General features: G+C 45.7%; 1 pseudogene, besides 3 other annotated features; it reads left to right on the plus strand.

Moving 5' to 3' along the window:
- Nucleotides 6,987-7,076: an enhancer, noted in NCBI's record as "active region_24900". NCBI's record gives its function as "activates an Ori minimal core promoter by ATAC-STARR-seq in GM12878 lymphoblastoid cells {active_cell/tissue: GM12878}" and the evidence as "EXISTENCE:reporter gene assay evidence [ECO:0000049][PMID:35858748]".
- Nucleotides 7,087-7,166: an enhancer, noted in NCBI's record as "active region_24901". NCBI's record gives its function as "activates an Ori minimal core promoter by ATAC-STARR-seq in GM12878 lymphoblastoid cells {active_cell/tissue: GM12878}" and the evidence as "EXISTENCE:reporter gene assay evidence [ECO:0000049][PMID:35858748]".
- Nucleotides 11,663-11,752: an enhancer, noted in NCBI's record as "active region_24902". NCBI's record gives its function as "activates an Ori minimal core promoter by ATAC-STARR-seq in GM12878 lymphoblastoid cells {active_cell/tissue: GM12878}" and the evidence as "EXISTENCE:reporter gene assay evidence [ECO:0000049][PMID:35858748]".
- Nucleotides 15,006-15,105, plus strand: RNU6-1299P (RNA, U6 small nuclear 1299, pseudogene; annotated as a pseudogene).

The following is a 15,697-nucleotide window of genomic DNA, read 5'->3' on the forward strand; positions in this document are numbered from 1 at the left end:
ATTAAGAGTGGCAGACAGACAGACATTAGGTTTCAGATAACTGTTACTCTAAAGGCTTTTATCATTGCTAAAATATATTTATAGTTGGCAAGACAATATTTAGTAGGACTTTTTTTCAGTAAAGACTTAAAACAACGCAACAGATTTCACTGTTACTTGTGAGACATTTCCACTTTATTTCTTGCCTGCTGGATGTATAATTTCGCCAAGTCTTCAACTTCAAACAGAAGTAGCTGGCAGATCCAGATTCTGTGAATACTCACAACAGAAAAGTAAGAGGGTGAAAAACAGGGGCGTGAGAGGTAGTACTATATTAAATAGGACCTACAGAAAGACATGCCTCAATGGTTAACCCCTGTGTGCTGAAAAAATAAACAACTATCTTTTTTTTTTTTTTTTTTTTGAGACGGAGTCTCGCTCTGTCGCCCAGGCTGGAGTGCAGTGGCGCGATCTCAGCTCACTGCAACCTCCGACTCCCTGGTTCAAGCGATTCTCCTGCCTCAGCCTCCTGAGTAGCTGGAATTACAGGCATGTGCCACCACGCCCAGCTAATTTTTGTATTTTTAGTACAGACCGGGTTTCACCATCTTGGCCAGGATGGTCTCGATCTCCTAACCTTGTGATCCGACCGCCTCAGCCTCCCAAAGTGCTAGAATTATAGACGTGAGCCACCACGCCCGGCCAACAACTATCTTTATTGGAATGTGGAGCAGGTAAGTGATATACCATGACCCAACATGAAAAAAATGAGGTTTCAAATGAAAAGTTACAGACAATTTGTGCTGGACATTTTCCTTATGTGTAGGAGAACTATTTAATAATTTATAGCAGCTTGAGATTGTAAGCACCCAGTACAGCCATCAGGATCTGATTTTTGTTGAATATCTGGTTTGCACAATAGGATTCTGCAAAAAGAAACATGAGGGAGAGTGAAAACTGCTGCAGTCCCACTCTCAATTTCAAGCCCTTGAGAAAACAAATGCCAATCTGAACGGCAACTCATTCTGAGCCCACGCTGCTGGCTAGAGGCACTGTAGCCACTAGGGCCCCAGCACCCAGAGGGGTGCCCAAGGGCCTGTACTTAGGCCTTCCCCAACTGATCACACAGCTGCAGGGGCAGGCAGGAAGCAGGGAGCAAGTGTTGGCTGGCTTCCCAGCCAATCAGAGCTCATTAGAAATGAAAAAGGAGACACATACTGCTCTAGCAATTGACCAATTTTAAAAAAATTACTGTATGCTGTGGAGTGTGGTGGTTGAAGCCTGTAATCCCAATACTTTGGGAGTCCCAGGCAAGAGGACTGCTTGAGCACAGCAGTTTGAGCAGCCTGGTCAACATAATGAGACCCTGTCTCTACAAAAAAAATCAAAAAATGGCTGAGCGCAGTGGCTTATGCCTGTAACCCCAGCACTTTGGGAGGCCGAGGTGGGTGGATCACCTGAGGTCAGGAGTTCAAGACCAGCCTGGCCAACATGGTGAAACCCTGTCTCTACCAAAAGTACAAAAATTAGCCAGGTGGGGTAGTAGTCACCTGTAACCCCAGCTACTTAGGAGGCTGAGGCAGGAGAATCTCTTGAACCCAGGAGGCAGAAGTTGCAGTGAGCCAAGATCACACCACTGCCCTCCAGCCTGGGCGACAAAGCAAGACTCTGTCTCAAAAAAAAAAAAAAAAAATCAAAAAATTAGTCAGGTGTGGTGGCACATGCCTGTAGTCCTAGCTACTCAGGAGGCTGAGAAGGGAGGATTGCTTGAGCCCAGGAGTTTGAGGCTGCAGTGAGCCATGATGGAATCCCGGCACTCCAGCCTGGACGACAGAGAAAGACCCTATCTCTGAGAAAAACAAAACAAAACAAAGACTCTAAATGATAGGATATATGTTAAGATTAGTCTTATTTGCGCTGGGTGTGGTGGCTCACAGCTGTAATCCCAGCACCTTGGGAGGCCGAGGTAGGCAGATCACCTGAGGTCGGGAGTTCGAGATGAGCCTGACCAACAAGGAGAAACCCCATCTATACTAAAAATACAAAATTAGCCAGGCGTGGTGGCGCATGCCTGTAATCCCAGCTACTCGGGAGGCTGAGGCAGGAGAATAGCCTGAACCCGGGAGACGGAGGTTGCGGTGACCTAAGATCGTGCCATTGCACTCCGGCCTGGGCAACAAGAGTGAAACTCCATCTCAAAAAAAAAAAAAAAAAAGGTCTACATAGACAAATATGTTCGTTGCAGGATCATTTGTGATAGCAAAGAAATCGAAGAGAACTTGGAAAATAGCTAAAAATACCTTCCATGACATACTATGTAAGCTTTTTTTTTTTTTTAAATACAGAGTTTCATTCTATCACCCAGTCCAGTGTGCAGTGGTATGATCATGGCTCATTGCAGCCTCAAACTCCAAGGCTCAAGCCATCTTCCCACCTCACCCTCTCAGGTAGCTGAGACTACAAGGCCAAATCACCAGGGCGGACTCATTTTTTTTTCTCTTTTTATAGAGACAGGGTCTTGCTGTGTTGCCCAGGCTGGTCTCAAACTCCTGGGCTCAAGTGATCCTCCTTGCCTTGGCCTCTCACAGTGTTGGGATTACAGGTGTGAGCCATCATGCATGGCCTGTAAACTAGAAAGAGGAAAGGGAGGTGTTCTTTTTTATGGATATGGAAGAATGTTGATGACATATTGTTGAGTAAAAGAAGAAAATGACAGATTTTTTTTTTTTGAGACGCAGTCTCGCTCTGTCGCCAGGCTGGAGTGCAGTGGCGCGATCTTGGCTCACTGCAACCTCCGCCTCCCGGGTTCAAGCGATTCTCCTGCCTCAACCTCCCAAGTAGCTGGGACTACAGGCACACACTACCAAACCCAGCTAATTTTTGTATTTTTAGTAGAGACGGGCTTTTACCATGTTGGCCAGGGTGGTCTCGATCTCTTGACCTCGTGATCTGCCCGCCTCGGCCTCCCAAAGTGCTGGGATTACAGGTCTGAGCCACCGTGCCTGGCCGACAGATTTATATATAATGTAATCTTATTTTTGTCAAGAAGAACATCACGTATGTATCTGGGTTGTGAATGGAAAAGGTCCGGGAGGCCAGGTGTGGTGGCTCAAGCCTGTAATCCCAGTACTTTGGGAGGCCAAGGCAGGGGGATCACTTGAGCTCAGGAGTTCTGGACCAGCCTGAGCAACATAGTGAGACCCTGTGTCAAAAAGAAAAAAAAAAATGTTCTGGGAAATACAGAGGTCATAGAGGTGACCGCGAGGTATATCGGATAGAGAGAAGAGAGGGACTTTTTCACGTTATACATGTGTGTGATGTTTGGTTGTTTTCCCCCATAATGAGTATCTACGTCTTTGTAGCCCTTTCCCCTCACACAGACTAAAAACAGTCATTACCATGGCCTAAAGAGCAGAAGTCACTCTAGAGTAGCTAAGTCATGCTCAGCTGGTGTAAGAGCCTAGACTTAAACACGTCACCAATCCCCCCCTTTCTCTACATAATTTTATGGCTGAAATAAAAGGAAGAGAAGAAATCCTGGTAAAAATGACCCCAAAGTAAATATGGCACTTGGTTACAGAATCCAAAGCCTCCTTTTTTCAAGTTGCTGAAGTGTCAACACGGTATTTTAAGAGGTCACTGTGAATATATGTAAGGATTTCCCTCTAGTCATTACACATGAGGGCCTGAGAAATAATAGGTGTCAACTGCCTGGTTCTACCGCTAAGGAAACTGGGGCAAAAAGAAAGGGTGGCTTGCTCAAGGCTATTGGGCTTTAGAATTATGGTTTTGGGTTCCACTTTCTAAATTATTACTACCAAACATCAAACAGGCAAAAAAAAAAAAAAAAAAAAAAAAAAAAGAAAGAAACCGTCAAGGAGTGAAATCTATAAGGTCTGTGCTTCACAGAATTGTATTCATTTAAATTATCAGGCCCTGCCCCCAACCTCACCCTTTAGTCCTTAGGCAGCTTAAGTCCCTTCCTCAAGAGGCCACATGTGTCCCAAGCCTGGGATGGAGGCCCTGTGCTGCACCCCCATGGCAGCTTGCTCTGTCCATGGAGACTCCTATGAACTGAGTTGGTTCCCCTCCAAATCCATATGTTGAAGTCCTAACCCCCAGTACACTTTGGAATGAGAATATTTGAAGATAAGGCCCTTAGCAGGTAACTGAGGTTATTTGAGGTCAAGGGTGGGGCCTTAATCTGATAGGGCTGGCATCCTTACAAGAAGGGGAAGAGACCAGCACGCTGGCTCATGCCTGTAATCCCAACACTTTGGGCAGCCGAAGCAGCGGGCGGATCACTTGAGGTCAGGAATTTGACACCAGCCTGGACAACATGGCAAAACCCCGTCTCTACTAACAGTACAAAAATTAGCTGGGCACGGTGGCAGGTGCCCGTAATCCCAACTACTTGGGAGGCTGAGGCAGGAGAATCACTTGAACCCGGGAGGTGGAGGTTGCAGTGAGCCGAGATTGCGCCACTGCACTCCAGATTGGGTGACAGAGAGAGAGACTTCGTCTCAAAAAAAGAAAGAAAAAAAAAAAGGCCGGGCGAGGTGGCTCACACCTATAATCCCAGCACTTTGGGAGGCGGAGGCAGGTGGATCACCTGAGGTCAGGAGTTCAAGACCAGCCTGGCCAACATGGTGAAACCCCATCTCTACTAAAAATACAAAAAATTCGCTGGGCGTGGTGGCACATGCCTGTAGTCCCAGCTACTCAGGAGGCTGAGATACAAGAATCGATTGAACCCAGGAGGTGGAGGTTGCAGTGAGCGGAGATCATGCCACTGCACTCCATCCTGGGTGATAGAGTGAGACTGCGTCTCAAAAAAAAAGGAAATGAGACTAGAGACAAGGAGTGCATGTGAGGAAAGGCTGCGTGAGGACACAGAGAGAAAGTAGCCACCTGCAAGCCAAGGAGAGAGGCCTCAGGAGAGACCAAACCTGTCAGCACCTTGGACTTCCAGCCTCCAGAACCATGAGAAAAATTTATATTCCCTAGGAAGCTGACTCAGAAAGAAAAAATTATATTGTCTAAGCCACCCAGTTGTATTTTATAACAGCCCAAGCAGACTACTAGAGACCCTGCTCACAAGCAGCTGTAATTGCCTTTTTCTTCGTCTGTTTCCCTAGCTAGAATGTAAACTCCTGGAGGGCAGGACCGTGTCTGATCACTATACCTCCAAGTGCCTAGCACTGTGCCTGGGACATAGTCGACTCTCAACAAATACTTGCTGAAAGAATACCTGAGTTGTTAGACACCAGTGTTCCATTCCCTTTCCTTTCTGTATAGATAAAAAACTGAAGGGTTAAAGGTTGAGAGCAGAACCATCCCTAGTCTATAATGAATGGTGCCTTCTGGAATTGTCCCTGCATCACACATACCGTTTTAAGGCAGTGATCCAAAGGTAGGCAGCCAATTCATGGCAGGCCCACACTACACTAACTCTGCAGTAATAATAATAGTATCACATAGCCATAAAGTTCTCTTCAGCCGTCCTCTTTCCATAGTTGCCTTGGTCTTCTTGGGCTACCATAATAAAATACCATAGACTGGGTGGGCTGAGCAAGAGAAATTTATTTTCTCACAGTTCTGGAGTCTAAAGTCCAAGATCAGGGTGCCAGCATGGTCTCTTTCTAGTGAGGGCTGTTTTCCTGGTTTGCAAATGGCAGCCTTCTTGCTCTGATCTTCCCCACTCTAGCATCCCTGAGGGCAGGAGCAGGCTACTCTACTATCTCTTGTTTTTTTCTTTTTTTTTTTTTTTTTGAGATGGAATTTCGCTCTTGTTGCCTAGGCTGGAGTGCAATGGCGTGATCTCGGATCACCGCAACCTCCGCCTCCCAGGTTCAAGCAATTCTCCTGCCTCAGCCTCCCCAGTAGCTGGGATTACAGGCATGCACCACCATGCCCGGCTAATTTTGTATTTTTAGTAGAGACGGGGTTTCTCCATGTTGAGGCTGGTCTTGAACTCCTGACCTCAGGTGATCCGCCCGCCTCGGCTTCCCAAAGTGCTGGGATTACAGGCGTGAGCCACTGCGCCCGGCTGTTATCTCTTATGAAGGGCATTAATCCCATCATGAGAGCCCTATCCTTATAATCTCATCGAATCCTAATTACCGCCCAAAGCTGTAACTCCAAATACCATCACACTGGAGAATAGGGGGAACATATGAAGGACACAATCATTTAGTCCATAAAAATAGTGTTTTCAAATTTTGGTTTCCTGTTTGCCCTTGATGACAGGCCTGAGAGAGGTGGAACAGGTCCACCCCATTTTTACACAGATGACAACAATAAATGTCCAGAGAGATTACATGGTTTGTAATTCATTCCTTCATTTAACACATAATTATTGCAAGCTTAAATGCCAGGCACTGGAGGATTCTGCCTTCCCTTTTGTTTATTTTTTTATTTTTAATTTTTTTTTTTGATACGGAATCTCTCTCTGTTGCCCAGGCTGGAGTGCGGTAGCACGATCTTGGCTCACTGCAACCTGGCCTCCCGGGTTCAAGCGATTCTCCTGCCTCAACCTCCTGAGTAGCTGGGACTATAGGCACGTGCCACTGTGCCCGGCTAATTTTTGTATTTTTAGTAGACACAGGGGTTTCACCATGTTGGCCAGACTGGTTTTGAACTCCTGACCTCATGATCTGCCCACCTTGGCCTCCAAAAGTGCTGGGATTACACGTGTGAGACACTGCACCCGGCCTCTGCCTTCCTTTTTTTTTCCCTTAAAGAAAGTGACTACCAGAATGTGACTACAACCTGGGCAACATGGCAAAACACCGTCTCTACAAAAAATACAAGAATTAGCTGGGCGTGGTGGCCTGAGCCTGTAGTCCCAGCTACTGAGGAGGCTGAGGTAAGAGAATCAATTGAGCCTGGGAGGTTGATGCTGCAGTGAGCTGTGATTGTGCCACTGCACTCCAGGCTGGGTGACAGAGCGAGACCCTGTCTCAAAAGAAAACAAGAATGTGACTAATTTAACTTTGCTGCTCCTTGTGGACTTGGCCATTTGCATTCATTTTCCCCTCTCTCCAGCTCTGTTGTCCTGCAGACAGCAGGTGGTGGCAAATGCTGTTGCACTCGTTAGCCGTGCAGTGCAGGAGGTATGAAATCACACAGATGCAGATTTGAATCCTGGCTCCAGCATGTACTAAGTAAGTGACCTTAGGAAACTACAGAAGCTTTTAGTTTCCATTTCCTTATTCACACCACGGGGCAACCCCATCCTACAGGGTAGGTGTATACAAGGCACTTCTGGTTAGTACTGGTACAGTGGCTGTCATAAGGTTAGTTCAGTAAACGGTAGCTCTTATTTTTATTGGTCATACATGAGGCAAGTGAAATGTTGAAATAATTAGCCCAGACACATTAAAACAGTTTTGATTATTTTTTTCTATTCATAGAAGACAAAACAATAAACCAATCCAAAACTATGCTTCTAGTTTAGCAGCAAAAGCACAAAGGTTCACATGAACAGCCTCAATGCTTTCTGGAAGACACCTGTAGAGGACCACTTTACATTCACACCCCACCCAAAAAGTGACACAAATACCGCTCTATAATTCTGAAACATTTCTAAAATGTGATGGTCCTTAAGCCACATTCTCTGCACCCCCTGCCCCGCCCCTTAAGGAAAGGCGCGATGAGTCCCGTCCTTCTCTAGGACAGGTTCTAGTAGCCTCCATCACATGTGCATGTTGGTGGCCCTAGATCCCTGGGCTAAACAACCAGGTCAGTGGACAGCAGAGGCAGTGTGTGCAAGTCTCGGTTCATAGATCTGTGTGTATGAAATAGCTATTTTTATAATTTACTTGCTATTCTGAGTCCTATCCTTTTGGAGTCCTCCCCAACCCCAGGGACTTCCAGGGGCCTCTGCCCTCCGGGCATCTGTCCACTGGGGTTCTTGCAGAGCCATCCATCACTGGCTCACCATGCCCTGCAGGCAGCGGCTCTGCCATGCCCAACCAGGGACAAGGTCATCTCTTTGCAAGGCTGCCTAGAGCAGGGATATGTGATGCAAATGCCTGCAGGGAGCAGGCAAGGAGAGTTCATAAGTGAACCAGGTAGTTTGCCTACTAAATACGTGAGAACGCTCTTCACCTTTACAAAGAAATACGCTAGCTCCATGTTTCTTTCAACATGAGCCATCTTTAGTCTCTCTATTGTTTCCCCATTTATGGGAAAAATCTTGGGTAAAGAGGGACATTCCTCTATTGCCTAGAAAACAGCAGTGCCAGTGTCATGAATGGCAACTAATCTTTGGCCTCAGCATTGGGACACAGCAGGGACTGGTGGACACTGTGACAAGCTAAACCACCCATTTCTTCTCCAATACAGGCAGCCATTTGATGCCATGACGGACTGAACCCAGTATGGTCAAATTTGCCAATTCTTAAAGAGAAGACAAAATCTGATTTTTTTTTTTTTTTGAGGCGGAGTCTCGCTCTCTCTCCCAGTCTGGAGGGCAGTGGTGCGATCTCGGCTCACTGCAAGCTCCGCCTCCCGGGTTCACGCCATTCTCCTGCCTCAGCCTTCCAAGTAGCTGGGACAACAGGAGCCCGCCACCACGCCCGGCTAATTTTTTGTGTTTTTCGTAGAGACGGGGTTTCACCGTGTTAGCCAGGATGGTCTCGATCTCCTGACCTCGTGATCCACCCGCCTCGGCCTCCCAAAGCGCTGGGATTACAGGCGTAAGCCACCGCGCCCGGCCACAAAATCTGAATTTTTATGTGAAATTGCCTAGTTTTAAAATCCTGAATGACTGAAATTCACATGGCCAAATCCCATCTGCAGGTCAGATCCAGCCCAAAGTAACTCGTTTGTGACTTGGGACCTGGCTGCGGCCCTCAGCCACATCTCCAGGAACAGTCCTGCCTGCTAGCTAGGTCTCTGGAAAGCCCACCACCTGCTCAGCCCACCACCCCACCCAGAAGAATTCTGCTTTTGCCTGTGGCTCAAATCCTTTCCCTTGCTGGGGCTTAAGCTTTTAGAAACAAAAGCTTGGGGGAGAAAAATAAGCTTGAGCTTATTTCAGCTTTCTGCCCCATCTCATCTCTTCACTAAGAAAATAAACAGATTGGAAGTATCTGGTCAGAGGCAGGAAAGGGAAAGGGGAAAATACCAGAACAAAAGTATAGATTAATACCTCAGGCCAGGCGTGGTGGCTCACACCTGTAATCCCAGCTACTTGGGAGGCTGAAGCAGGAGAATTGCTTGAAACCGGGAGGCGGAGGTTGGAGTGAGCCAAGATCACGCCATTGCATTCCAGCCTGAGCAACAAGAGCAAAACTCCATCTCAAAAAAAAAAAAAAAAAGATTATCCTGCCCCACATACTTACTGAACATATTTGATCTGAGATTATTTACGAAAATATTGTAGTAAGGAAATCCCAATTCAGCCAAATAATCAAATATTCAATTTTTACAGTAAAATATATGTATGTAACACAGCATCTTCCCTTTTTATATTTTATATTTCTTAATGGTGAGGGTCTCTGTCATCCATACTGGAGTGATTATAGCTCACTTGTAGCCTCAAATTCCTGGGCTCAAGCAATCCTTCTGCCTAAGTCTCCCGAAGTGCTGGGATTACAGGCATGAGCCACCACACCAGGTCGCCACTGTCTTAATAATATATTAGAATGTTCACTTTTACTAGTATAGTACCTTGTTTATTGATTCTGCCAGGGGCAATTTCTGAATTGAATAATAAGGTTTTTGAAAAAAATGTTATACATTTAATACACCAAAAGGAGTTTAGCACCTTGAAGGTTTATCTGCCGAGTTAATAATAAACATATGATACTAGTTATTACTGAGCCATTGCTGATTTGAAGGACTAAAGCAACACAACCCCTATGCTCTGGGAAGATGATAAATTTAGGAGCAGAAAGTTCAGGCTCAAATTACCTTTGTTTCATCATTTTCTTTGGTGGTGGGAGAGAGATGCTGGTCTCAGTGTGATACTGACTTAGGTGGTCAGGAGTGGGGCAAGAATATTAGAAATCCACCAGATGAAAATCCTTCAAATAAACGACCTTATTACCCCCTTGACCTATATAATCAGCATGGAGCAAACAGGAATAATTGCCCTGTGCAACCCGAGTGTGTGAGTTTGAGGGAAGGGGGACAGAGGAATTCAATAACCAATAACCCACATTTACCTACTTCTTCCCTCTGAATATTTTACATTAGAAATGACAGAAGATTTGGGTTCCTTTCCCCTAATAAAATGAAAACCATTTTTTAGAAGAAAGTAATAGAATCAGCAGAAACCAGTGGCATATGTGTGGTGAAACTCATAGCGAGTATTGGGACAGACATGGCACATATGTTTTACTCCTCTAAGACTCAAACATTTGGTATTTCCTGAATTCTCTTTGTGGAGATAACAAAGTTTTCAAATGGCATATATAACAAAATATATTACATCCAAGTTGATAGCCAATGATTTAATAACATTTAATATTAAAACAATTAAGACACATAAAAAGTGCAGCATCTATAGCCTGTAAATTCTTCCGGCATATTATGATCCTAGCTTTCAGTAAGTAAATGTTATACTTATGGAAGCTGCATTTATTAGGACTTGACATTAGATAAGTAAGTAAATTACTTCAGGTATCAAAGAGTTCTCTACTCTAGGCTGGAATAAGTGAATGTGCTTTCCCAATGCCTATGTTCTGAGATAATTTTTGCAGTGATGGAATTCGGCTCATATCAGCAGTAGAGAGAGGTGAGCAAGACCACTTAGTACCTAAATATAGGGCTGAGAATTCATGCAGCTGGCAGGAGAAGATGAGACCTCTTTGGAAGATGGCTTGGGTAGCTTTAATGTGAAAAAAGCTTCCAAAATTAAAAATGTTTAGTCATTGTAGCTACAAAAAAAAAAAAAAAAAAAAACCACAGGGTTGGGTGCAGTGGCTCATGCCTGTAATCCCAGCACTTTGGGAGGCCAAGGCAGGCAGATCACGAGGTCAAGAGATCGAGACCATGCTGGCCAACATGGTGAAACCCTGTCTCTACTGAAAATACAAAAATTAGCCGGGCATGGTGGCGTGCTCCTGTAGTCCCAGCTACTCAGGAGGCTGAGGCAGGAGAATTGTTTGAACCTGGGAGGCAGAAGTTGCAGTGAGCCGAGATCGCATCCCTGAACTCCAGCCTGGTGACAGAGTGAAACTCAGTCTCAAACAAACAAATAAACAAACAAAGAATTGAGCACCTCTGATTGAAAGCCTTGAGTCCTTTGGGGACTAAGAAATGGATAAGCAAGGTCCCTGTCCTCATAGAACTATCATCTAACCGAGGAATCAATCGTGAGCCCCGGAAACTGTGATGTAAAGCAGAAAGGAGAGGCCCAGAGTGCGGGGGAGCAAGGAGCTCAAAGAGATCAGGAAGATTCCATGGAGGAGGGGCTGAGCAGGATTCTGACCCATGAAGGCTGGGCGAAGGGCACTCTGGGCAGGGAAAATTGCGGGCAGCAGCTGAGGCAGGAAACTGCAGGCCATATTTGGAAACCTATAAATAGCCCTTCTGAGTGAAAAACAGAGAGCACTGTAGTTAGAGGGAGAAGTAACAGGTAAGGCCAGAGAGACAGGTGGTGAACAGATTGAGGCCTTCTTCCAGTCTGAGCCACACATCTTCTGAAACCTGGCAATCAGCCTGGTGCTTGACTATTTCATCGAAGACAAATGTGACCACTGGCAGCCACAAACCAAGAAGACCCTGATCCAAGAACTGGAGCTCTGCTGCTGGCCGCAAATGCTGGTCTCTCAGACTGCTTATCTCGGACTCAGTAATACAGTGGTAACTCGGAATTGGGAAGATGCCAGGAAGAGGGATAGGGACAGAAACATAACCAGTAACTGACCATTGCCCTCTACAGTCTTATACCCCCACATGGCTTCCAAGAAGCCCAGTTTTAAGCTGTTCAGGGGCAATGCCTAATATACTAGAGCAGGGTCACATGTTTGTATATGCAAAGAAGGAGAAACTGCCTTAACACAGCAAAGAATTTAACAAGGAATAAAACAAACGAAGAGTTCTGATCCTGCTGGGTAACAAGAGATCATCCACAAGAGGCAACTGTTAATTTAAAATTTCATGGCATTGCCGGGCACGGTGACTCACGCCTGTAATCCCAGCACTTTGGGAGGCCAAGGTGGGCAGATCACGAGGTCAGGAGATCAAGACCATCCTGGCTAACATGGTGAAACCCCGTCTCTACTAAAAACATATAAAAAATTAGCCAGGTGTGGTGGCAGGCGCCTATTAGTCTCAGCTACTCGGGAGGCTGAGGCAGGAGAATGGTGTGAACCTGGGAGGCGGAGCTTGCAGTGAGCCGGGATCATGCCACTGCACTCCAGCCTGGGCGACAGAGAGAGACTCCATCTCAAAAAAAAATAAATAAAATAAAATAAAATTTCATGGCATTGATGCAATAGGGTAAACAGCCTCTGGATGGATTTCTCACCTTTGCATGTTTACCTTTTTTTTTTTTCTGCTTGAATTTCAATTAGTCTTAGCCTAACAATGGCTTTTTTTTTTTTTTTTTTTTTAGACAGAGTCTTGCTCTGTCGCCCAGACTGGAGTGCAGTGGCGTAATCTTGGCTCACTGCAATCTCTGTCTCCTGGGCTTAAGTGTTCCTCCTGCCTCAGCCTCCTGAGTAGCTGGGACTACAGGAGCGTGCCACCATGCCCAGCTAATTTTTGTATTTTTAGTAGAGACGGGGTTTCATCATGTTGGCCAGGCTGGTCTTGAACCCCTGCCCTCAAATGATCCGCCCAACTTGGCCTTTCAAAGTGTTGGCCACTGTGCTCGGCCCAATAATGGCTTCTTATAGCCAACCAAAACAAATGGAGTACACAAAAGCTCTAAAATAAAAAATACAGTGCTACTATATTCTAAGCATTCAAGAGCTCCTTGATAAGCACAATAAAACCCCATGATAATGCCCTCATCAAAAATATGATTTCATTTTATTTATTTATTTTTGAGACCGTGTCTTGCTCTGTCACCCAGGCTGGAGTATGGTGGTGTGATCATGGCTCACTACAGCTTCACCTCCTGGGCTCAAATGATACTCCCACCTCAGCCTCCTGAGTAGCTGGGACTATAGGCACACACCGCCATGCCTGGCTAATTTTTTGATTTTTTGTAGAGACAGTCTCACTATGTTGCCCAGGCTGGTCTCAAACTCCTGGGTTCAAGTGATACCCCTACCTTGGCCTTTCAAAGTGCTGGGATTACACGCATGAGCTACTGTACCCGGCCAAAAATAAAATTTGTTTTTTTTCTTTTGAGATGGAGTCTTGCTCTGTCGCCAGACTGGAGAGCAGTGGTGCAATCTCGGCTCCCTATAACCTCCGCCTCCTGGGTTCAAGTGATTCTCCTGCATCAGCCTCCCCAGTAGCTGGGACTGCAGGTGCCCAGCACCATGCCTAGCTAATTTTTGTTTTTTTAGTAGAGACAGGTTTCACCATTTTGGCCAAGCTGGTCTTGAACTCCTAACCTCAGGTGATCTGCCCCCCTTGGCCTCCCAAAGTGCTGGGATTACAGGCGTGAGCCACCGTGCCCGGCCAAAAATATAATTTTAGATATGATGCAGAATTGACAGCTGGCTCCCATTCCCTGCCTAGCCCCTAAACAGGGCAGGTAGAGGGAGGTCTTAGAGAGGAGGCCAAGGCCATAAAGATAGGGAAAAGGCATGTGAACTTGTTTCAGAGAGAGAAGAGGTGAGGGGTAAATCTCGTCCTAATTATTCTCCCAGCTGAATCTGGCCAACTAACTGGGACATTTCCCAAATCGCTAATGTTATCCTGCAGCTTCTGCACTCAGAATTGTCCCCAGTAGGCCGGGCATGGTGGCTCACACCTATAATCTCAGCAGTTTGGGAGGCCGAGGAGAGCAGATCACAAGGTCAGGAGTTCAAGACCAGCCTGGCCAATATGGTGAAACCCTGTCGCTACTAAAAATACAAAATTACCTGGGCATGGTGGTGTGTGCCTGTAGTCCTAGCTACTCTGGAGGCTGAGACAGAAGAATCGCTTGAACTGGGTAGGCGGAGGTTGCAGTGAGCCGAGATCGCACCACTGCACTCCAGCCTGGTGACAGAACAAGACTCTGATTCAAAAACAACAACAAAGAAAACAGGATGTTTAGCCAGGTGCGGTGGCTCATGCCTGTAATCCCAGCCCTTTGGGAGGCCGAGGTGGGTAGATCACCTGAGTTCGGGAGTTTGAGACTAGCCTGACCAACATGGAGAAACCCTGTCTCTACTAAAAAAACCCCACAAAATTAGCCAAGCTTGGTGGTGCGTGCCTGTAATCCCAGCTACTTGGGAGGCTGAGGCAGAAGAATCGCTTGAACCTGGGAGGTGGAGGTTGCAGTGAGCCGGGATCACGCCATTGCACTCCAGGTTGGGTAACAAGAGTGAAATTCCGTCTCCAAAAAAAAAAAAATTGTCCCCATTAATATTTAACTTGGGGCCGACCACCACCACCAGGTGGCATCAAATCACAACTGAGTCTGGCATGAATTTATTTTTGATTTATTTAAAAATTTTTTGGTAGAGACAGGGTATTGTTATGCTGCCCAGGCTGGTCTTAGACCCCTGGGCTCAAGCGATCCACCCGCCTCAGCCTCCCAAAGTGCTGAGATTACAAGCCTGAACTGCTGTGCCTGACCTGGCATGAATTTAGATAGGGCAGTTAGCTCCCAAATTCCTCACAGCTAGCTAGACTGACCCACAATGGTCATTTTGTTGTTAACCCTGCAAGAAATTGTAACCTTCCATTTCATATGACTGATTTATTTGGATCTCAGTTATAATTACAATTACAATTATAATTACAATAGGATTTACTGTATTAATTTATAACCAATAATTGATGAAAGTACTCTCTTAGTAAACTAAAGGCCAAAGAATATTAAATTAGACATTGTACTAATTATTTTGTGCTAATTATACATATACATATTATATATATAAAATATTTATACACACATATACAGAATGCTCGCTTTGGCAGCACATATACTAAAACTGGAATGATGCAGAGATTAGCATGGCCTCTGCACAAGGATGACACTTTTATTTAACTTTGCAAAAAAAAAAAAATTAAGAAAACCAATAAACACACACACACACACACACACACACACACCCCCCTCATAGCTTGAGTTTATTTATTTTTTGAGACAGGTCTCACTCTGTCACCCAGACTGGAGTGCAGTGGTGCAATCTTGGCTCATTGCAACCTCTGCCTCCCGGGTTCAAGCAATTCTCCTTCCTCAGCCTCCCGAGTAGCTGGGATTACAGACATGCACCACTACTGCCTGGCTATTTTTTTTTTTTCTATTTTTAGTAGAGACGGGGTTTCTACTAAAACCCCGTTTAGTAGAAACGGGGTTTTTTTTAGTAGAGACGGGGTTTCTCCATGTTGGTCAGGCTCATCTCGAACTCCCGAACTCAGGTGATCCACCCACCTCGGCCTCCCAAAGGGCTGGGATTACAGGCATGAGCCACCGCACCCGGCTAAACATCCTGTTTTCTTTTTTGTTGTTGTTTTTGAATCAAAGTCTTGTTCTGTCACCAGGCTGGAGTGCAGTGGTGCCATGTTGGCCAGGCTGGTCTCAAACTCCTGACCCCAAACAATCCACACTGCTCGGCCTCCCAAAGTGTTGGTATTATAGGCGTGAGCCACC

The sequence above is a fragment of the Homo sapiens genome, chromosome 6 (assembly GCF_000001405.40).
Source record: "Homo sapiens chromosome 6, GRCh38.p14 Primary Assembly".
NCBI lineage: Eukaryota > Metazoa > Chordata > Mammalia > Primates > Hominidae > Homo > Homo sapiens.